Source organism: Homo sapiens, chromosome 4 (genome assembly GCF_000001405.40).
Source record: "Homo sapiens chromosome 4, GRCh38.p14 Primary Assembly".
Lineage (NCBI taxonomy): Eukaryota > Metazoa > Chordata > Mammalia > Primates > Hominidae > Homo > Homo sapiens.
In genome coordinates, this window is record NC_000004.12 from 48409448 (window position 1) to 48429100 (window position 19653).

General features: G+C 37.2%; 1 protein-coding gene and 1 pseudogene across 3 annotated transcripts in view; both read left to right on the top strand.

Moving 5' to 3' along the window:
- Positions 1 to 16754, top strand: part of SLAIN2 (SLAIN motif family member 2) — an 84673-nt gene extending 67919 nt beyond the window's left edge. For all 3 annotated transcript variants that reach the window (XM_005248121.4, NM_020846.2, XM_047416023.1), the window contains 2 exons: positions 10678 to 10996; positions 12564 to 16754. In XM_005248121.4, the coding sequence (XP_005248178.1) occupies positions 10678 to 10996; positions 12564 to 12630 (386 nt within the window). In that variant the 3' untranslated portion in view covers positions 12631 to 16754. The remainder of the gene's footprint in view (positions 1 to 10677; positions 10997 to 12563) is intronic.
- Positions 811 to 3570, top strand: LOC107986278 (U6 snRNA-associated Sm-like protein LSm2; annotated as a pseudogene).
- Positions 16755 to 19653: the final 2899 nt, after the last annotated feature.

Here is a 19653-nt window from a genome sequence, read left to right on the forward strand (position 1 = left end):
CATATCCCCATCGTTAAGTGACACATAACTGTACTTTGTTCCTTTTTATTGCCAAATATTCCATTGCGTGGATGCACCACATTTTGTTTATCCATTCATCACTTGGTGGATACTTGAGTTGTTTCCACTTTTTGCCTATTGTGAATAATCCTGTGGTCAGACCCGGTGGCTCACGCCTGTAATCCCAGCACTTTGGGAGGCCGAGGTGGGCAGATCACCTGAGGTCAGGAGTTTGAGACCAGCCTGGTCAACATGGTGAATCCTCGTCTCTACTAAAAGTACAAAAATTAGCTGGGTGTGGTGGTGGGCGCCTGTAACCTCAGCTACCCGGAAGGCTGAGGTAGGAGAACTGCTTGAACCTGGGAGGCAGAGGTTGCAGTGAGCTGAGATCGTGCCATTGCACTCCAGCCTAGACGACAGAGCAAGACTCCATCTCAAAATAATAATAATAATAATGCTGTGAACATTCATGTACAAGTGTTTACATGGACAGACATGTTTTAGTTCTCTTGATTATATGCTTAGTGTAATTACTGGATCATATGGTAGCTTTATGTTTAACATATTAAGGATCTGCTAAACTGTTTTCCAGAGTGGCTACAACATTTTACAGTGTCACCAGCACTGTATGAGGGTTCCAGTTTCTCCATCTCCTCAGTAACACTTGTTGTCTTTTATTTTAGCGATCCTGGTGAAGTGTTGTAAAGTGGAATCTCATTGTGGTTTTTATTTTGCATGAGTAATGTTGAGCATCTTTTCATGTGCTTATTGGCCATTTGTATATCTTCTTTGGAGAAATGTCTATTCAAATTCTTTGTCTCTGTTTTTTTAGTTTTTTTTTTTTTTAATTGAGTAGTCACATTCCTTTATATATTCTGGATTCAAGTCCCATATCAGATCCATGATTTGTAAATATTTTCTCCTACTCAGTGGATTTATTCTTCACTTTCTTTATGGTATCCTTTGAAGCACAAAAGTTCTTAATTTTGATGAAGTATCATTTATCAATTTTTGATCTTATGGGTCATGCTCATAGTGTCATAAGAAATCAGTGCCTAACCCTAGTCATTACTCCTGTTCCTTCTGCTCTACCCCACCTGCTCTTGCCAGACACGAATCCGCTGCGCTTTCCCCTTCGGTACTTGGAGCTTTCTGCAGCCCTTCCCTTCCCCAAGTCCGGCTCCGCTTGCAGTATCCTGCCCTCCTCCCCATCTGGCCTGCAGCACCAGCACCAGGACCATGCTCTTCTATTCCTTTTTCAATCCCTGTGGGCAAGGATGTAAACCTGGAACTCAAGAATGACCTGCTTATCTGTGGACCCCTGCATGCTGTGGATCAGTATCTCAACATCAGATTAACTAACATCAGCGTTACAGACCCTGAGAAATACCCTCACATCTTCATTCGGGGCTTAGTGGTCCAAAATGTGCAGTTGCCAGCAGACAGGGTCGACAAAGTTGCTGCAGAATGCAGCAAGGAAGGAAGCCCTATAGCAGAAACAGTGATGGCTCCTCCTCTTCCTCCTCCTCTTCCCTTCCCTCTTCCATTGCTGACCCATAACCCCAAGTCCCAGCTTAGGACCCCTGACCGTGAATACTTGAAGCAATTGTGTTTCGTTGGTGTTTTTTCGTCGTTGTTGTTTTAACTAGTGAGTGTGTGTGTATGTGTGTGTGTGTTTAAGGGATGACTGGATGAGAGGGATAATAGGGAACAGCTCTCCCTGTTGAGAAGGGGAGGATAAGTAGGCTGGGAAATTTCAAAGCCTTCCTAGTCCTCAGCATCTATCTTTCTCACTACTTCCCTAGAGATGGTGGGAGAGTTTCCTAGGTCTTTCCAGGGCAGCATGTGATTCGTTTTGGGGATGGAAGAAATCTGTACCACATCAGGAATAAAATTCACGATGCAAAAAACAAACAAACAAACACTCCTATGTTTTTTTCTAAGAACTTTATGGGTTAGCTCTTACACTTAGGTCTGTGATCCATTTTGAGTTAATTTTTTTAATAGTGTGAAGTGTAGGGGTCCAACTTCATTCTTTTGTACGTGAATATCCAGTTGTCCTAGCAGCATTTTGAACTCTTCCCTGCTTTTATCTGGACTTCATTTTCCTTTATCTGGAATGTCCCTGTTCTGCTCTATTTGGATTATCTTCTGAGTTTTTTTTTTTTCCTTAGCATGAAGTTTTACCTGGAAGAGGGATTTGGCTGGTTAATTTTAAGAATTCATAGCCACTCATGTTCTTCTTAGACCTTACAGTAGACCTCTTGTACTCACTCACTATTGGAGTATGCAGATCCTTCCCAGTTCAGCTTCTGTTCAGCATTTTTTTGTATGAGTACTTGTTGGTTATTTTGGAATTTTCAGGACATTGAGATATTCCTCTGCTTCCTTCTGCACAGATACTGATAATTCATATGGTCTTGTAGTTGTCAGTGACTTCTTCCTACCCACTTGTATTTTGGGCCTCATGGAGATACTCCATCACCTGGTTTTATTGTAGCTATTGTAAATGGGTTTTGGTTTGACCTTCCTAGTTGCTCTGTATGTTTTTATGGAGAGAGTTGAGGAAATTCGTAAATTACACCAATGCCGGTACCATCTTTCAAGAATCCTCATAATTATGTTTCTTAATCTTGACATTGACATTTTTTCCGCTTTCCTCACTAGACACTCTAAGGTTAGTTATATGTTAATTTATTAAACTAAAATACAATAAGTTATATAGGTATAGATGTACAGCTGTTTATATATACTGTGTACTAAAACTAACGTGTCTCTCAAATCTTGATATCATGTATTTTGATACCTAATCAATTCCCTAATTTTGGAAATGTGGCTATTTTGTTAAAAACTTCCCCTACCAGGGTGGAGATATCTAATGAATCTTAATAGTTCCTGTAATGTATGTTTGTATATGTACACACACACACACACACACACACACACACACACACACACACACACACACATTCCCTCTCTCTCTCTCTCTCTGTGTCTCAGCTTTGGCACCCAAAGGGTGGCTAAGGTTTTCAGTTGAATAAACATATTTCTTTCTAAAAAGTTTATTTCTAAAAGTCATTATTGAGGTTGGGGCAATTATCTTGAAGAGGATCAGTTCCAAAGTTATTTTCTATTTAGAGTAAATTGGAAGATTAAGCTGTAAATGTTTGCTGGTAGCTTATGCATTCATATATATCTTTTTGTATTTATGGAAGAAAAGGTATTGAAGCCCTATTTTCGGGGCATTTTCTGCATCTTACATTTAATAAATTTTTCTAATAACTAACAATTTTTGTATGCTTACAAAATAATAGTCGTGTACGTTAATGGAAGAAGAAATCAAAGGTTTCTGTGTCTTTCTCTTTTATGGTTACTTGTCAGCAATTGCCATTTTTATATGCTTTGGAGTCATACCTTATAAAACCTGCCTAGGATAGTAACCCCACAAATAAACTTTCTGAGTCTGGTTGAAAATTAAAGTGTTGATAATGACACTTTGGCCAGACACGGTGGCTCACCTATAATCGCAGCATTTTGGAAGACTGAGATGGGCAGATCACTTAAGAGGCCAGGAGGTTGAGACCAGCCAGACCATCATGGCAAAACTCCGTCTCTACCAAAAAAAAACAAATTATCCAGACCCGGTGACCTGCATCTGTAGTCCCAGCTACTTGGGAGGCTGAGGCACGAGAGTCGCTTGAACCTGTGAGGCAGACGTTGCAGTGAACCAAGTTTGTGCCACTGTTCTCCATCCTGGGTGATAGAGCGAGACTCTGCCTCAAAAAAAAAAAAAAATGTTGATAATGACAGTAGAGATGTTTCTCTTTTGGTTCCTGGTAAAGAATACTGATCTGGGAATCTGGAGACCTGGGTTCAGTTCAGTTATAACACGACATCCTGACTTTCCTATTTGCTCAGTTGACTTCTGTGGTTGTGGTAATTTCCCTTATCCATGAAGTGAGAGGGTTAGAGTACATGGTCAGTAATAACTTTTTTTACAAGGATTCTTTAATTCTGTAGTGAGAGAATCATATTTAATTCATCTTTTTGTTCTTTAGCAGCCAGAACTTATTTTTAAATACTTGTGTCAGTAAATTGTGATTATCATTGATAGGGTAGATACCATTGAATAATTGAAATGATATGACAGTATAGTAAGGGATCGTTGACAAGGAGATATTTTTGTCCTTCATTTGTTAATAATGGAATTCATATGTGTTTTAATAAATGATGTTTCCTGTTGGTCATGATGACCAGTGTTTGGCAATGTGTTTATTTTTATTACTATATACTTACTGGGCATTTATAGTTTTTATAAATTATGCAGCTAAGGGAAGTTGTAGTTTGAAGGAAGACTGCTCTGTGAAGACAACTTGGAATATCTAACTTTTGTATTGCTAGGTACATGTTGGATATATTTTTATAAAACATTTTATTTTCAGTGAATATCAAGTTAAAAAGATATGTATAATTTATTCAGTTTTTTCATTTTAGGGTTAAGTGCATGCCTGAATTATAGAAACCTTAAGTAGAAAACAAACTTAGCACAATTATTAAATACTTATTAAAAGAAAAAATATTTTAAGATACGAATTCTCTATTACCCATCATCCTAATTTGGAGATAACTTAGACACCAAGGTTAGGATTCTTAGTCATGTCATTTTTATAAATAGAGTTCTAATTTTTGCTCAGAGCAGATAGATCTCCTTCACATTATGCCTGACTCGAGTGTAATTCTTGGTATTCAAAAAGAGTAAAGAGAAATTATAACTTGTCAATATCAATTTGGGTAATACATTTTGGGTAATAACTTAATATTTACATTTGAGTTAATTTATAGGGAAAGCCTAGGAGACTGTTCTGAGTGGCATTGTTGAATATCCATCTAGGAAATTCATGTGTAGCAGACTAAAGGAGGCCTGTTCTTTAGATAAGAAAGCCACAGATAAGAATGCCTTACAATTTGTTTAATATTTTACATTTTACTAACAATTTACACATTTATTACTCGTTTGCTCTTCACAGCAAACTTATATTGGCTCAGATTTATTAGATTTATATGTAAGTGGTTTTCTTTTCAAGCAATGCAATTGGTGTGGTATTTTTTTTTTTTTTTTTTTTATTATACTCTAAGTTTTAGGGTACATGTGCACATTGTGCAGGTTAGTTACATATGTATACATGTGCCATGCTGGTGCGCTGCACCCACTAATGTGTCATCTAGCATTAGGTATATCTCCCAATGCTATCCCTCCCCCCTCCCCCGACCCCACCACAGTCCCCAGAGTGTGATATTCCCCTTCCTGTGTCCATGTGATCTCATTGTTCAATTCCCACCTATGAGTGAGAATATGCGGTGTTTGGTTTTTTGTTCTTGCGATAGTTTACTGAGAATGATGGTTTCCAATTTCATCCATGTCCCTACAAAGGATATGAACTCATCATTTTTTATGGCTGCATAGTATTCCATGGTGTATATGTGCCACATTTTCTTAATCCAGTCTATCATTGTTGGACATTTGGGTTGGTTCCAAGTCTTTGCTATTGTGAATAGTGCCGCAATAAACATACGTGTGCATGTGTCTTTATAGCAGCATGATTTATAGTCCTTTGGGTATATACCCAGTAATGGGATGGCTGGGTCAAATGGTATTTCTAGTTCTAGATCCCTGAGGAATCGCCACACTGACTTCCACAATGGTTGAACTAGTTTACAGTCCCACCAACAGTGTAAAAGTGTTCCTATTTCTCCACATCCTCTCCAGCACCTGTTGTTTCCTGACTTTTTAATGATAGCCATTCTAACTGGTGTGAGATGATATCTCATAGTGGTTTTGATTTGCATTTCTCTGATGGCCAGTGATGATGAGCATTTCTTCATGTGTTTTTTGGCTGCATAAATGTCTTCTTTTGAGAAGTGTCTGTTCATATCCTTCACCCACTTTTTGATGGGGTTGTTTGTTTTTTTCTTGTAAATTTGTTTGAGTTCATTGTAGATTCTGGATATTAGCCCTTTGTCAGATGAGTAGGTTGCGAAAATTTTCTCCCATGTTGTAGGTTGCCTGTTCACTCTGATGGTAGTTTCTTTTGCTGTGCAGAAGCTCTTTAGTTTCATTAGATCCCATTTGTCAATTTTGGCTTTTGTTGCCATTGCTTTTGGTGTTTTGGACATGAAGTCCTTGCCCACGCCTGTGTCCTGAATGGTAATGCCTAGGTTTTCTTCTAGGGTTTTTATGGTTTTAGGTCTAACGTTTAAATCTTTAATCCATCTTGAATTGATTTTTGTATAAGGTGTAAGGAAGGGATCCAGTTTCAGCTTTCTACATATGGCTAGCCAGTTTTCCCAGCACCATTTATTAAATAGGGAATCCTTTCCCCATTGCTTGTTTTTCTCAGGTTTGTCAAAGATCAGATAGTTGTAGATATGCGGCATTATTTCTGAGGGCTCTGTTCTGTTCCATTGATCTATATCTCTGTTTTGGTACCAGTAGCATGCTGTTTTGGTTACTGTAGCCTTGTAGTATAGTTTGAAGTCAGGTAGTGTGATGCCTCCAGCTTTGTTCTTTTGGCTTAGGATTGACTTGGCGATGCGGGCTCTTTTTTGGTTCCATATGAACTTTAAGGTAGTTTTTTCCAATTCTGTGAAGAAAGTCATTGGTAGCTTGATGGGGATGGCATTGAATCTGTAAATTACCTTGGGCAGTATGGCCATTTTCACGATATTGATTCTTCCTACCCATGAGCATGGAATGTTCTTCCATTTGTTTGTGTCCTCTTTTATTTCCTTGAGCAGTGGTTTGTAGTTCTCCTTGAAGAGGTCCTTCACATCCCTTGTAAGTTGGATTCCTAGGTATTTTATTCTCTTTGAAGCAATTGTGAATGGGAGTTCACCCATGATTTGGCTCTCTGTTTGTCTGTTGTTGGTGTATAAGAATGCTTGTGATTTTTGTACATTGATTTTGTATCCTGAGACTTTGCTGAAGTTGCTTATCAGCTTAAGGAGATTTTGGGCTGAGACGATGGGGTTTTCTAGATAAACAATCATGTCGTCTGCAAACAGGGACAATTTGACTTCCTCTTTTCCTAATTGAATACCCTTTATTTCCTTCTCCTGCCTGATTGCCCTGGCCAGAACTTCCAACACTATGTTGAATAGGAGCGGTGAGAGAGGGCATCCCTGTCTTGTGCCAGTTTTCAAACTATCTCTCAGACCACAGTGCAATCAAACTAGAACTCAGGATTAAAAATCTCACTCAAAGCCGCTCAACTACATGGAAACTGAACAACCTGCTCCTGAATGACTACTGGGTACATAACGAAATGAAGGCAGAAATAAAGATGTTCTTTGAAACCAACGAGAACAAAGACACCACATACCAGAATCTCTGGGACGCATTCAAAGCAGTGTGTAGAGGGAAATTTATAGCACTAAATGCCTACAAGAGAAAGCAGGAAAGATCCAAAATTGACACCCTAACATCACAATTAAAAGAACTAGAAAAGCAAGAGCAAACACATTCAAAAGCTAGCAGAAGGCAAGAAATAACTAAAATCAGAGCAGAACTGAAGGAAATAGAGACACAAAAAACCCTTCAAAAAATCAATGAATCCAGGAGCTGGTTTTTTGAAAGGATCAACAAAATTGATAGACCGCTAGCAAGACTAATAAAAAAAGAGAGAAGAATCAAATAGACACAATAAAAAATGATAAAGGGGATATCACCACCGATCCCACAGAAATACAAACTACCATCAGAGAATACTACAAACACCTCTACGCAAATAAACTAGAAAATCTAGAAGAAATGGATAAATTCCTCGACACATACACTCTCCCAAGACTAAACCAGGAAGAAGTTGAATCTCTGAATAGACCAATAACAGGCTCTGAAATTGTGGCAATAATCAATAGTTTACCAACCAAAAAGAGTCCAGGACCAGATGGATTCACAGCCGAATTCTACCAGAGGTACAAGGAGGAACTGGTACCATTCCTTCTGAAACTATTCCAATCAATAGAAAAAGAGGGAATCCTCCCTAACTGATTTTATGAGGCCAGCATCATTCTGATACCAAAGCCGGGCAGAGACACAACCAAAAAAGAGAATTTTAGACCAATATCCTTGATGAACATTGATGCAAAAATCCTCAATAAAATACTGGCAAACCGAATCCAGCAGCACATCAAAAAGCTTACCCACCATGATCAAGTGGGCTTCATCCCTGGGATGCAAGGCTGGTTCAATATACGCAAATCAATAAATGTAATCCAGCATATAAACAGAGCCAAAGACAAAAACCACATGATTATCTCAATAGATGCAGAAAAAGCCTTTGACAAAATTCAACAACCCTTCATGCTAAAAACTCTCAATAAATTAGGTATTGATGGGATGTATTTCAAAATAATAAGAGCTATCTATGGTGTGGTATTTTTAATCTTGATTTCTAATGTTCGTTGCTGGCATATAGAAACATAGTCAGTGTTTGTATTTTTATCCAGTTCTGTGACCTTACTGAATTCACTTATTATTTCTAGAAGTGTGTGTGTGTGTAGATTCATTGGGATTTTCTGTGTAGACAACCATGGGGACAGTTTCTAACCTCTGTGCCTTTTATTATTATTTCTTCTTCTTCTTCTTCCTCTTCCTCCTCTTCCTCCCTCCTTCCTCCTTCTTTCTCCTTCCTCCTTCTTTCTCCTTCCTTCTCCCTCTTCTTCTTTTTTTTTTTTCTTGTTTATTGCACTGGCTAGAATTAGTGGTAAGAGCGTATGTTCTTGTCTTGTTCCTGGTCTTAGGGGAGATGCATTCAATCTTTCTTCATTAAGTATAATGTTAACTGTAGGGTTTTTGTAGATGTTCTTTATGAGGTTGAGGAAATTTTCCCTATTTCTGTTTTTCGGAGAACTTTTTTCATGACTGTGTTGAATTTTGTCAGATGCTTTTTTTGAGTCCGCTGTTACAATTCTGTGATTTTTCTTCATCCTGTTACTGTGGATTACACTGATTGATTTTCAAATATTGAACCAACCTTGCATCTTGGAATAAATCCTCCTTAGTCATGGCATATAAATCTATTTATATATTGCTGGATTCTATTTTCTAATATTTTTTTAAGGATTTTTACATCTATATTTGTAAACAATATTGATCCGAAGTTTTCTTTTTTGATACTGTCCTTTTCTAGTTTTGGTATCTCAGTAATACTGGCTTCATAAAATGAATTGGGACATGTTCTTTCCTATTTTGTGACGGAGATTATGTTGAATTTGTGTTCATTCTTAAACATTTGGTGGAATTTCCCAAGGTTGCTCCCAACCTCCAACAAACATTTGTTCTGCTGCTTGTTACCATAAATTAGATATGACTTTCCTCAAATTTCTTTATAACACAACATTCTACAGTGTGTGTGTGTGTATGTACACACGGACTGTTTTGTGTCTGGCACTCATTTCATTCAGCAAAATTTTTGATATTCATCTTTGTTCTATACATCAGTAGTTTACTCCTTTTTACTGCTGAGCGGTATTCTGTTGCGTGGATATGCTACAAATTGTTTATCCATTCATGTGTTGATGGACATTTGAGCTTTTTTCAGTCTTTGGCTGTTACAAAGTTGTAGTCAAGTCTTTGTGTGGACATAAGCTTTTTTCTGTTTTCCTTTTTTTTTTTGAGACAGAGTCTCGCTCTGTTGCCCAGGCTGGAATGCAGTACCGCGATCCCCGCTTATTGCAACCTCCGCCTCCTGGGTTCAAGCAGTTCTCCTGCCTCAGCCTCCCAAGTAGCTGGGACTACAAGCATGCACCACCACCCCCAACTAATTTTTGTATTTTTAGTAGAGATGGGTTTTTCACCATGTTGGCCAGGCAGGTCCCGAACTCCTGACCTCAGGTGATCCGCCCGCCTCGGACTCCCAAAGTGCTGGGATTACAGGTGTGAGTTACCACGCCTGATCTTCTTTTTTCTTTTTGAAGCAGAGTCTTGCTCTGTCACCCAGGCCGGAGTGCAGTGGCATCATCTCGGCTCACTGCAGCCTCTGCATCTCTGGTTCAGGCAGTTCTCCTGCTTCAGTTTTGAGTAGTTGGGATTATGGGTGCATGTCACCATGCCCAGCTGCCTTTTTGTTTGTTTTTTCATCATGTTGTGCTTTGTGAAGCACAGCAATGGAAGCACTTTTTAAAAATGATTTTTAGTTTCTAAATTTTTAGTTACAGTGTCAGTAATATGGGATTTGGACATAGAGCCTCCAGATACTTGATACATGTTTACGTGAATGTTTCTTTTCAGGGGAAATACATTTCAAATTCTAGACAACAGTTGGGTAGTCAACCTGTTTTTCACCTCTAGAATGTTTGTTCATATGTGGCCCACATTAGTTGCTACTGTGAGACAGAATCCTGCAGTGCCTTTTCTCTTCTGGTATTATGGATTCCAAGCTGGCCTATTTAAAATACTGTTGTCAAAGACAGTTGTAATCCTCTAAGTACTTGGTCATTTAGAACTCACAGTTACTTTTTTTCTTTTAGTAGCCCAGGAATAGCTTTTATTGTTTGCATTGCTGTGAAGTTTCCTGAATACACATGTACTAGTGCCCAATCATCAGTTGTAATTTAAAGCAATGGTTTCATATATACAGATTTCCACTCAAAAATTGGTTTTTCTTTGCCATCCCACAGTACCTTCTCCAGGCAAATTCCGTTCCCCTGCAGCACCATCTCCTTTGGCTCTTCGGCAACCAGTGAAAGCATTTAGTAACCATGGCTCTGGTTCTCCTGGTAGCCAAGAAATAACACAGCTCACACAAACCACCTCCTCACCTGGGCCTCCTATGGTTCAGAGCACAGTCTCAGCAAATCCTCCCAGCAATATCAACAGCGCTACTCTAACCAGACCTGCAGGGACAACTGCAATGAGAAGTGGCTTGCCCAGACCCAGTGCCCCTTCTGCTGGGGGCATACCAGTGCCTCGCAGCAAACTTGCACAGCCTGTTCGCAGGTAAGTGGCAGATGTTCTGTTTCAGCATTCTTGAGTGCCTGAAAGTGGATAGACTGGAATGAATTAGCTTCATCCGTATGTTTGATAGTAAACAGAAAGTCATGGTGGATTCCCACCAGAGTTTTAGTACCATTTGAATAAAACTTTACTACATTGTTTTTAAGAAATCCTCATTTGGGACTTTTACCAGTTTGGTTCAGATTAAATTTGTCCAGTTGCCTAACGTGATTAAGCATCTCAGAGGACCCCTAGAAAAAAAATTGTTAGAGCCTCTCAATTTGATTGTGATATTCATTCATTTCGAATATAATTATATTCAATAAAGATGATAAAGGTATATTAGAATATAGAGTGATATTTAAGATAAAACTTCTAGCTACCAAGTCTGAGTATAATCTATAAGCATGGTTTTCAAACCCTTATTCTATAATTCAGAATTATCTGTGAGATTTATATAAATGTAGGGTGTAAGTTTTACCTTCAGAGAGTCTAACTTAGTAGATCTGTTATGAGGCCCAGAATCTGTGGGTGTGCTAGGTATTTTGTTGTTGTTTTTTGTTTTGTTTTTGTTTTTGTTTTGTTTTTGTTTTGAGATGGGGTCTTGCTTTGTCTCCCAGGCTGGAGTGCGGTGGTGCAATCTTGGCTCACTGCAGCCTTGACCTCCCAGGCTCAAGCAATCCTGTCACCTCAGCACCCCCTGTAGCTGGGACTACAGGCGCACACCACCATGCCTGGCTAATTTTTGTAGAGATGGGGTTTTACCATGTTGCCCAGGCTTGTCTGGAGCTCCTGAGTTCAAGTGATCTGCTTGCCTCAGCCTCCCAGAATGCTGGGATTACAGTTGCTGGTTTTTTTGTTTGTTTGTTGTTTGTTTGCGTAATCTTCAGATGATTCTGAATCAGACAGGTTGGGAATGATGCATCTGTAACCTTTCAAGAATGGGATTACCACCATCAGTAAACTTTGGTGTCAAATATAATTAAACTGGAAATATTTATCACTGTGCTAAATAAGTAAATGCTTGCTTTGTTTAATCTTCATAATAATATTAAATGAGTAGGTATTCTTATTTCTATTTTTCAAAAGAGGATATTGAAATTTAATGGAATTAAGTAATTTGCCTAAGGCCACATAGCTAATAAAACTATGAGTTCCAAGTATGTCTGACTTTGGAGCTCTTTTAATCACTGTCCCATACTGCCTTTCTAGTGATGCTGACACTGAGCTTCTAATATCACATTCATCATTCTGCCTCTCAAAATAATAAGTAAATGATAAGGTTGGTTATCTGTGTGCTTGGAAAAGGTGAGACCATCTTTTCCTTTCTTTTATCTAGTAGCTATGTTAACAAAATGGGAAGTCATCTGGTGCCCAGTAAAACTTGGAAGTTGTGAAAATGCAGAGTGTGGGGAGGTTGTACTAGTACCTGTTTAGAGCTTAGGACTTGGTACGGCCTTCATGGGATCGTGATGCCACCTGAAGAGTAATTAATATATGTGTGAGATAGTATGGTACTATTTCATAAAGACATTTATCAAATTTTAATTACAAAATTGCTTTATTACAGATCCTTGCCAGCTCCTAAAACCTATGGTAGCATGAAAGATGACAGTTGGAAAGATGGCTGTTACTGACCAGCAAAGACAAGAATGCAGAAGTCCACGGCTTCATGGATACCCTTCACCAGGCTAAAAAACAACTTTTATATGCAGACTGTTCAGATAAGACTCTTGGGATTTATAAAATCCCAGCCCTCTCTGTCTTAATTAGCACAAACCGACAGAGATCATCAAACAGCACTTTAATGACATTTAACATCAGATGTGTTTGGTAATCATACAATCACTCTCCATAGAATCACTTTTAGTTTTGTTTAATAGAAACTAGGTTGATTTTTAAAAAATATTTGACAGAGGCCAATATCTGGGCAAATACCTAATGGATGCCAAAGAGAAATGCCCATTTGTAAATGAGAAAAATGCCCATTTGTGCACAAGAAAATGGTGAATTCAGGCTATCCAAAACTTCACATTCAACCTAATTTACTGTATAAATAGTATCAATAAATATTTGTGTTAATGAGAACTAATATTCTGACTAATTATCTAAAGTGTTTCACTAGTACACCAGGAAACTACAGATTGAGATTAGGGGGTGGGAGGAAAGAAACCTGGGCTAGAGATTAAAACATTCCTAAATTTAGCAGAATTTCAGAAATGATTTTTGCAGATTCATTAGAAAAGAAAAATTGTCATTTAATCTTAAGTTTTGGATGTAGCTCACATGTCACCACCACCAGATAGTGTTACAGCATGTATCCATCATGTTGCATTGACACATCAAACTTGTGTGTGTTTGTTTTGATTGCCAAAAGGGCTTAATATCAGTTGTACAATCTTTCTGAACTTTATAGTTCCTGGCTCAGGAAAGATGGCCTTTGCTATTGAAGCCAACTTCTTCACATGCTGTTATCTTTACAGAACTAAGAGATCTTGTTTCTATTAGCAGGTTTTCATGATAGGAAAGAACAAGTAGTGTGTGTCTTTATTCTTGATACAACACCACCTCGGTGCTTGCAACCTGGAACAAAACCATACCATGAGAGAGAGGGGGAAAAAAATCTATGCACTTAACCTACAAAATCTCTGGTGATGACAGTTGTATTGTTGCTATTACATGGCATAACGGTCTATTATGTGGTAGGAAAATATAGCCTGCTAAATCCTACTTAAGTTGATCCACTTTAAACTGAGTAACTGTATAAAACATCTATTGAAAATTCTTTTCCTTTTGACTTAGATTCTGCCTTACATCAATTTTTGCATTTTTGGTAAAAAAAAAACCCTACTACGTATGACTCTAACCTGATACTTGCTCTCTAATGGCTCTTAATATATCCTTGAAATCGGCTATTTCAATTTTATCAGACTTTTACCAGAGTAAAACTTGCTTCTGTAGCAGGCCTCTCATTTTTTATTATGAGGTCTGTTTTTAAATACTTAATTTGAACAGCTCTAAGATATTGTCACTTAGGTCATCTAAAAGCTTTTAGAGATTTGAACATAAGTTCATTTCCTGTTAATCAAAGACATTCCGTAAGTTGGCAAAAGAAATTGGGAGAGAGAAATAGAAGGCTTGATATTCTGGACAGCATTAAGGTTGATAGGTTGATGATAAAAACTTAAAACCAGGACCTCCATTCTGTCATGACTGACACCATGGTAGTCTGTCAGCTTGACCAGTGGAGAGTCATTCATTTAGCACAAGCAGCTGGAGATTTAAACTGCCAGTACTATGTATTTGGTGTATAATGCAAGGAAGAAACTTTATCCTTGAATTTGAGGGTGATGGGGTGGGTCAGGAAAGGATGGCGCCAGAATTCTACATGATAATGAACTAAAAAATGTTGCTTTTCAGAGGAAGATAAAGCATCTTCTTTTGGGAGGGGGGTATCTCATGTCTAAGTAAGTAAAAGAAAGAAGTAGCTACTGTCTCTTTTAAAAACCACGTACAAAACAGAACAAGTCTCAGTTTTCAGTGCAACATTTCAAAAAATATATATGCTGCAATCTAATAATTAAAAGGAATTTTACCTATTATGAAACATATTACATTTTTTAAGTTAGATAATCAGTTTCAAAAGGAGTATTCAGGTTATTTAACTTTGTTTTTAAATGGCTGCATCAGAAAAAAATGTCTATTTTTTTTTATTAAAATATTTCATCACTTGTTAAAACATATTTTTGATCTGAGTTTGGTAAAGTATTATTTTACCTGCTGTTGTACTACCACAGACTGTTGACTTTTAGTTTCTTAAAGAGAAAAATTGCCTTTTTACTAGAAAGCCTTTGTATATTGCAATTTTTCTGTTTGGGAAAATCTAAGGATTTACTGTGGTTAGTCTTACAGAAGAAATGTGGATTTGATAAACTAGTGCCTATGATTTTAACTTATGTTTGATATATAGTAGTAAGGGTTTTATGAATGTTGATTATTTTGTGCCAACAGCCCAGAATTGTCACTTATATGTAAGCAGAAAACAATGAGCTCTGCTTCCAAAGTTATTTAATTTTCTCAGTGTTTGAATGTTATTTTTTGTAAGTGTGTTAATAAAAGTGTAAAGAATTGGAAAAAATATAAATATTCTTAACTCAAGCATTTGCTGGATCATTTTTCTACAAAACTTGTTTGTACAATATAAAACACTCTCTGAAGAGTTGACTTTTTTTCAGTTTCGTATCCTGGAAATCACATTTTGTAAAACTGGGGACCATTCATAATTGTCAGATACTTTTTAAAATTATCTCAATACATCACTTTTATAAAAAAAAAAAGTTTTTTTGAAAGAAAATTAGATACATATGTGGCCCCAGATGTTTGTATAACTCTAGAATGATCTAGACTATGTATGTTTAAATTAACTTTTTATTGAATGTACAGGTGTCCATTTTTGACGTTAAGCATGGTCCTTTAAGGTCACATGACGTTTGATTTGCAAACATTTCTATAGCCGAACTTGTATATGTGGTTGCCTCCTTAATAAACAGCCTGACCATAATGTTTATTATTAAATTTATATTCTTTAAGTGTTTAATTAATCTCTGGATATGGTAAGATTCCTTTTTTCCTCTCAGTTGCCTACACTTGGTTTTAATAAATTACTCAGTTGAGTTTTTCTTTAACCACAGAAACCCAAATCATATTGCCCTTTCAGATTTAGTCTTCATGGGGTTGGATTATGTCTTATATTTTCTCTGTCAGAGTTATTTCATATATGGATTTTACTTGAAGGAAATTTACAGTTTACTCTAAATTGATTTGTTCTTGGAACTTTTTTACCTGCTGTGAATTGATACCTAGTTATAAAAAGCTAGCATTTGCCTAGATCATAACTATGTATGGTATCTAGTTAGAAAAAAACAAGCAAAAAGCTATTATGAGTTTCCAAGAGGGACAATTAATGCATTTTCATACCAAATGCGAATATTTAGGTGATCACGTGCATCTTTTCTTGTATGGATGGAAAAATCAAGAATTGTACACTGTTTAATGAGTTCTCCATATTCCTTTAGGAGATATTTGCTTTGCAATTACATGTTACAATTAGAATAATTACAATTAAAATAATATTACATGTTACAATTAGATTAATAGTGATGAGAGGGAAAAAAGACACCCTTCTGTTTTTTTCTCTCAAGCCAGTCTAAAAACTTGAAGAGCCATTTAAAATTAAATGTCACTATACTTGTATTATAAATCAATACATAAGTTTAAACCTGTTATATACTCAGTGCAACAGAAAAACCCATATGGAGGTTCAACCACTGATGTATTTTGAATGATCCTAAATATAAGTCTTGGGTGGCTAAATGGCCCTCTGCTTACCAGTCTGAAAATGAAACCGATTATACTCATCGGCCTTATTTACTGTAATACAAACTGGTTAAAACTATGTTAACTGAATGCTAGTTTGAAACAAATTATCTACATTAAGTCATCTTAATGTTTTCTCTTTAAAAGAAATAAAAAAATCTGTTTCTTCTGATTTCGAAAGTAATAGAAACTCTGCTGTAGAACATAAACTAAAAATATTAAAAAGTATAAAGGTAAAAAATGATAGTTGTCTGCAATCCCATAATCCGGAAATATTGAAGTACTGTCCGTAACATGGTTATGACATGTTAAGTGGAAGGGTAGAAGGTCTTTTTTTTTTTAAGGAGAAAATGTTTCTTTTAAATAAATGTTTCTTATGTAAAAATGTTGACATGAGTTTGCTTTTGCACAGAAGTATACATTAACTGCTATTGAAAGCTTGGCATATATCTTAATTCCTGATTTTAGATATTTCTTGATAAAACTATCGTATGTATTGTTTGTATTGTTTATAACATTAATTGGTTTTTTACAATTTATACTTTTTTTTTTTTTTTAAACAGTCTTGCTCTGTTGCTCAAGCTGGTGGAGTGCAGTGGCATGATCTCGGCTCACTGCAACCTCTGCCTCCCAGGTTCAAGCAATTTCCCTGTCTCAGCCTCCCAAGTTGCTGGGACTACAGGCACATGCCACCATGCCCAGCTAATTTTTGTATTTTTAGTAGAGACCGGGTTTCACCATGTTTGTCAGGCTGGTCTCAAACTCCTGACTTCATGTGATCCACCCACTGTTGTACCTGCTGTTGTATTTTTTACCTGCTGTTGTACTACCATAGACTATTGACTTTTAGTTTCCTAAAGAGAAAAACTTTCTTTTTTTTTTTATGAGATGGGGTCTCACTATTTTGCCCAGGATGGTCTCGAACTCCTGGGCTCATGCGATTCTCCCGCCTCAGCCTCCCAAAGTGCTGGGATTACAGACATGAGCCACCACGCCTAGCCTCTATACATATTGAAATTTGAGAAATATATAATAAATTATAAAGAAGAAAAAGTACCTAATTCAATAGGTAGTCAGCCACTTAAATTTGAAGATAATGTCTTTGTTTCTTTTTCCTTCTAAAATTGTAATCATATGCTTGACAGTAACTTTTTCTGAAGTCTGAATTCATGACTACCATGATGTAGATGGATTCTGCTGCTACAAAAAAAAGCCATTTAGTTCTGGAAAGAGTTTATAAATATTCTAAAACTTTGCCAAACTATATTATTGTAGTCCTTCGTATCGTATCCTTTGTTGATACTTGAATGCCCCCCACCACCACCCCTGCCTCCCATCTACCATGAATTGACAGTATTGATTGAGTACAATGCCAGTTTTAAACCACCTTTAAAGAAATAACAGGCACAACCAAATAGGCTAGTCTTCAGTAGAGTTATTAAACTTGATCACCGGAAGGGCTATTAAAACAGATTTCTGCACTGTACTCCCGAGAATTTCCAAGTCCAAAAATTCTAGGAGTAGGGTTCCCAGGACAGGTCAGGTGCACATTACTGGACTAATTGACTGTGACTAGAGGATTGGCGTTGAGGTAGAACACTAGCTATGGTTTTCTACTGTGAAAACCATATGGATGGAATGGGGAAAGACCATTTTCCCTGAAGGTGATGCTGTCCCAAGAAAGTAGGCCAGGTCTTGAGCAAACAATACAGTAGGTACACATCACAAATGTCTCAGTGCATATTATATAAAATGATTATACCATGTCAGTGGTCACTGACCTGGAGGAAACATTTGTAGTAAGAAGAGAAGTTTCTGGTAGTATTTGAGCTCCTGGCTCAATACAGGAGGCCCTGTATTACTCCTGTCCATGGATTCCACTAGGCATCTTGGTATGCTTATTAAAAGTTCCCCTTCGTACATAGGCCAGTTTAAGCTAAGGTTCTATCATTTGCAAACAGCAGGAAGAGATGATTTTTCAAATGTTTTAAAAATTGATAAATTATGTACAGAAGTTTGTACAACTCAAATGTTCAGCTCAAAGAATTATCACTAAATTACTACATGTGTAATCACCATGTAGACAAGAAATAGAATGTTCACCGCACCCCAAAAACTCTCCTAGTGTCATCTGACAATCTGCTTCCTTCCTCTTCTACAAAGATAACAGTTACTGACTGGGTGGGGTGACTCACACCTGTAATTCCAGCACTTACGGGAGGCTGAGGTGGGAGGATCGCATGAGCCCAGGAGTTGGAGACCATCCTGGGCAACATAGTGAGAACCCCATCTCTCAGAAAAAAGACAACAGCTATTCTGACTTCTAACATTGTACAGCATCGGTGCATTATATAACATCTCAGTCAACATGGTCTGCCTATAGGTCAATACTCCAGTAAAATTATAATGAGACTGAAATATTTCCATCGCCTAGTGACATAGCCCAACGCATTTACTCACGTGTTTGTGGTGATGCTGATATAAACAAGCCTGCTGCGCTGCTAGTCATAGAAGTATAGCGCATAATACTTGATAATAAACAACTTTGAAACTGGTTTACATATTTACCATACTTTATTGTTATTTTAGAATGCACTCCTACTTATTTTTAAGTGAACTGTAAAACAGCATCAGGCAGATCCTTCATGAGATATTCTAGAAAACATTGTTATGATAGGAGATGACTGCTCCATGCATTTTATTACCCCTGAAGACCTTCCAGTGGGACACATGTGGAAGTGGAAGACAGTGATATTGATGATTTTGACTCTGTGCAGGCCTAAGCTAATGTGTGTGTTCATGTCTTAGTTTTCAACAAAAATTTTTTTAAGGAAAAATGTTTATAGAATGAGATATAAAGAAAATAATTTTGAGCAGCTGTACAATGTATTTTAAGCTAAGTATTGTGAAAGAGTCAAAAAGTGAAAACTGTAAGTAATAAGGTAAAAACCTTGCAGTAAGCTAAGGTTAATTATTGAAAAAAATTTATAAATCTAGTGTAGCCTAAGTACAGTGTTTAAAAGTATAGTAATGTTCTAGGCCTTGACATTCACTCACCGACCCACCTCAAGCAACTTGCAGTTCTGCAAGCTCTGTACATGTTAAGTGCCCTTTACAGGTATCTCATCTTTTATCTTTTATACGGTATTTTCACTGTAGCTTTTCTGTGTTTAGATATGCAAATACTTACCATTGTGCTACACTCACCTACAATATTTAGTGCAGCAACATGCTGTACAGGTTTGTAGCCTAGGGCTATATCATATTGCCTGGGTGTGTAGTGG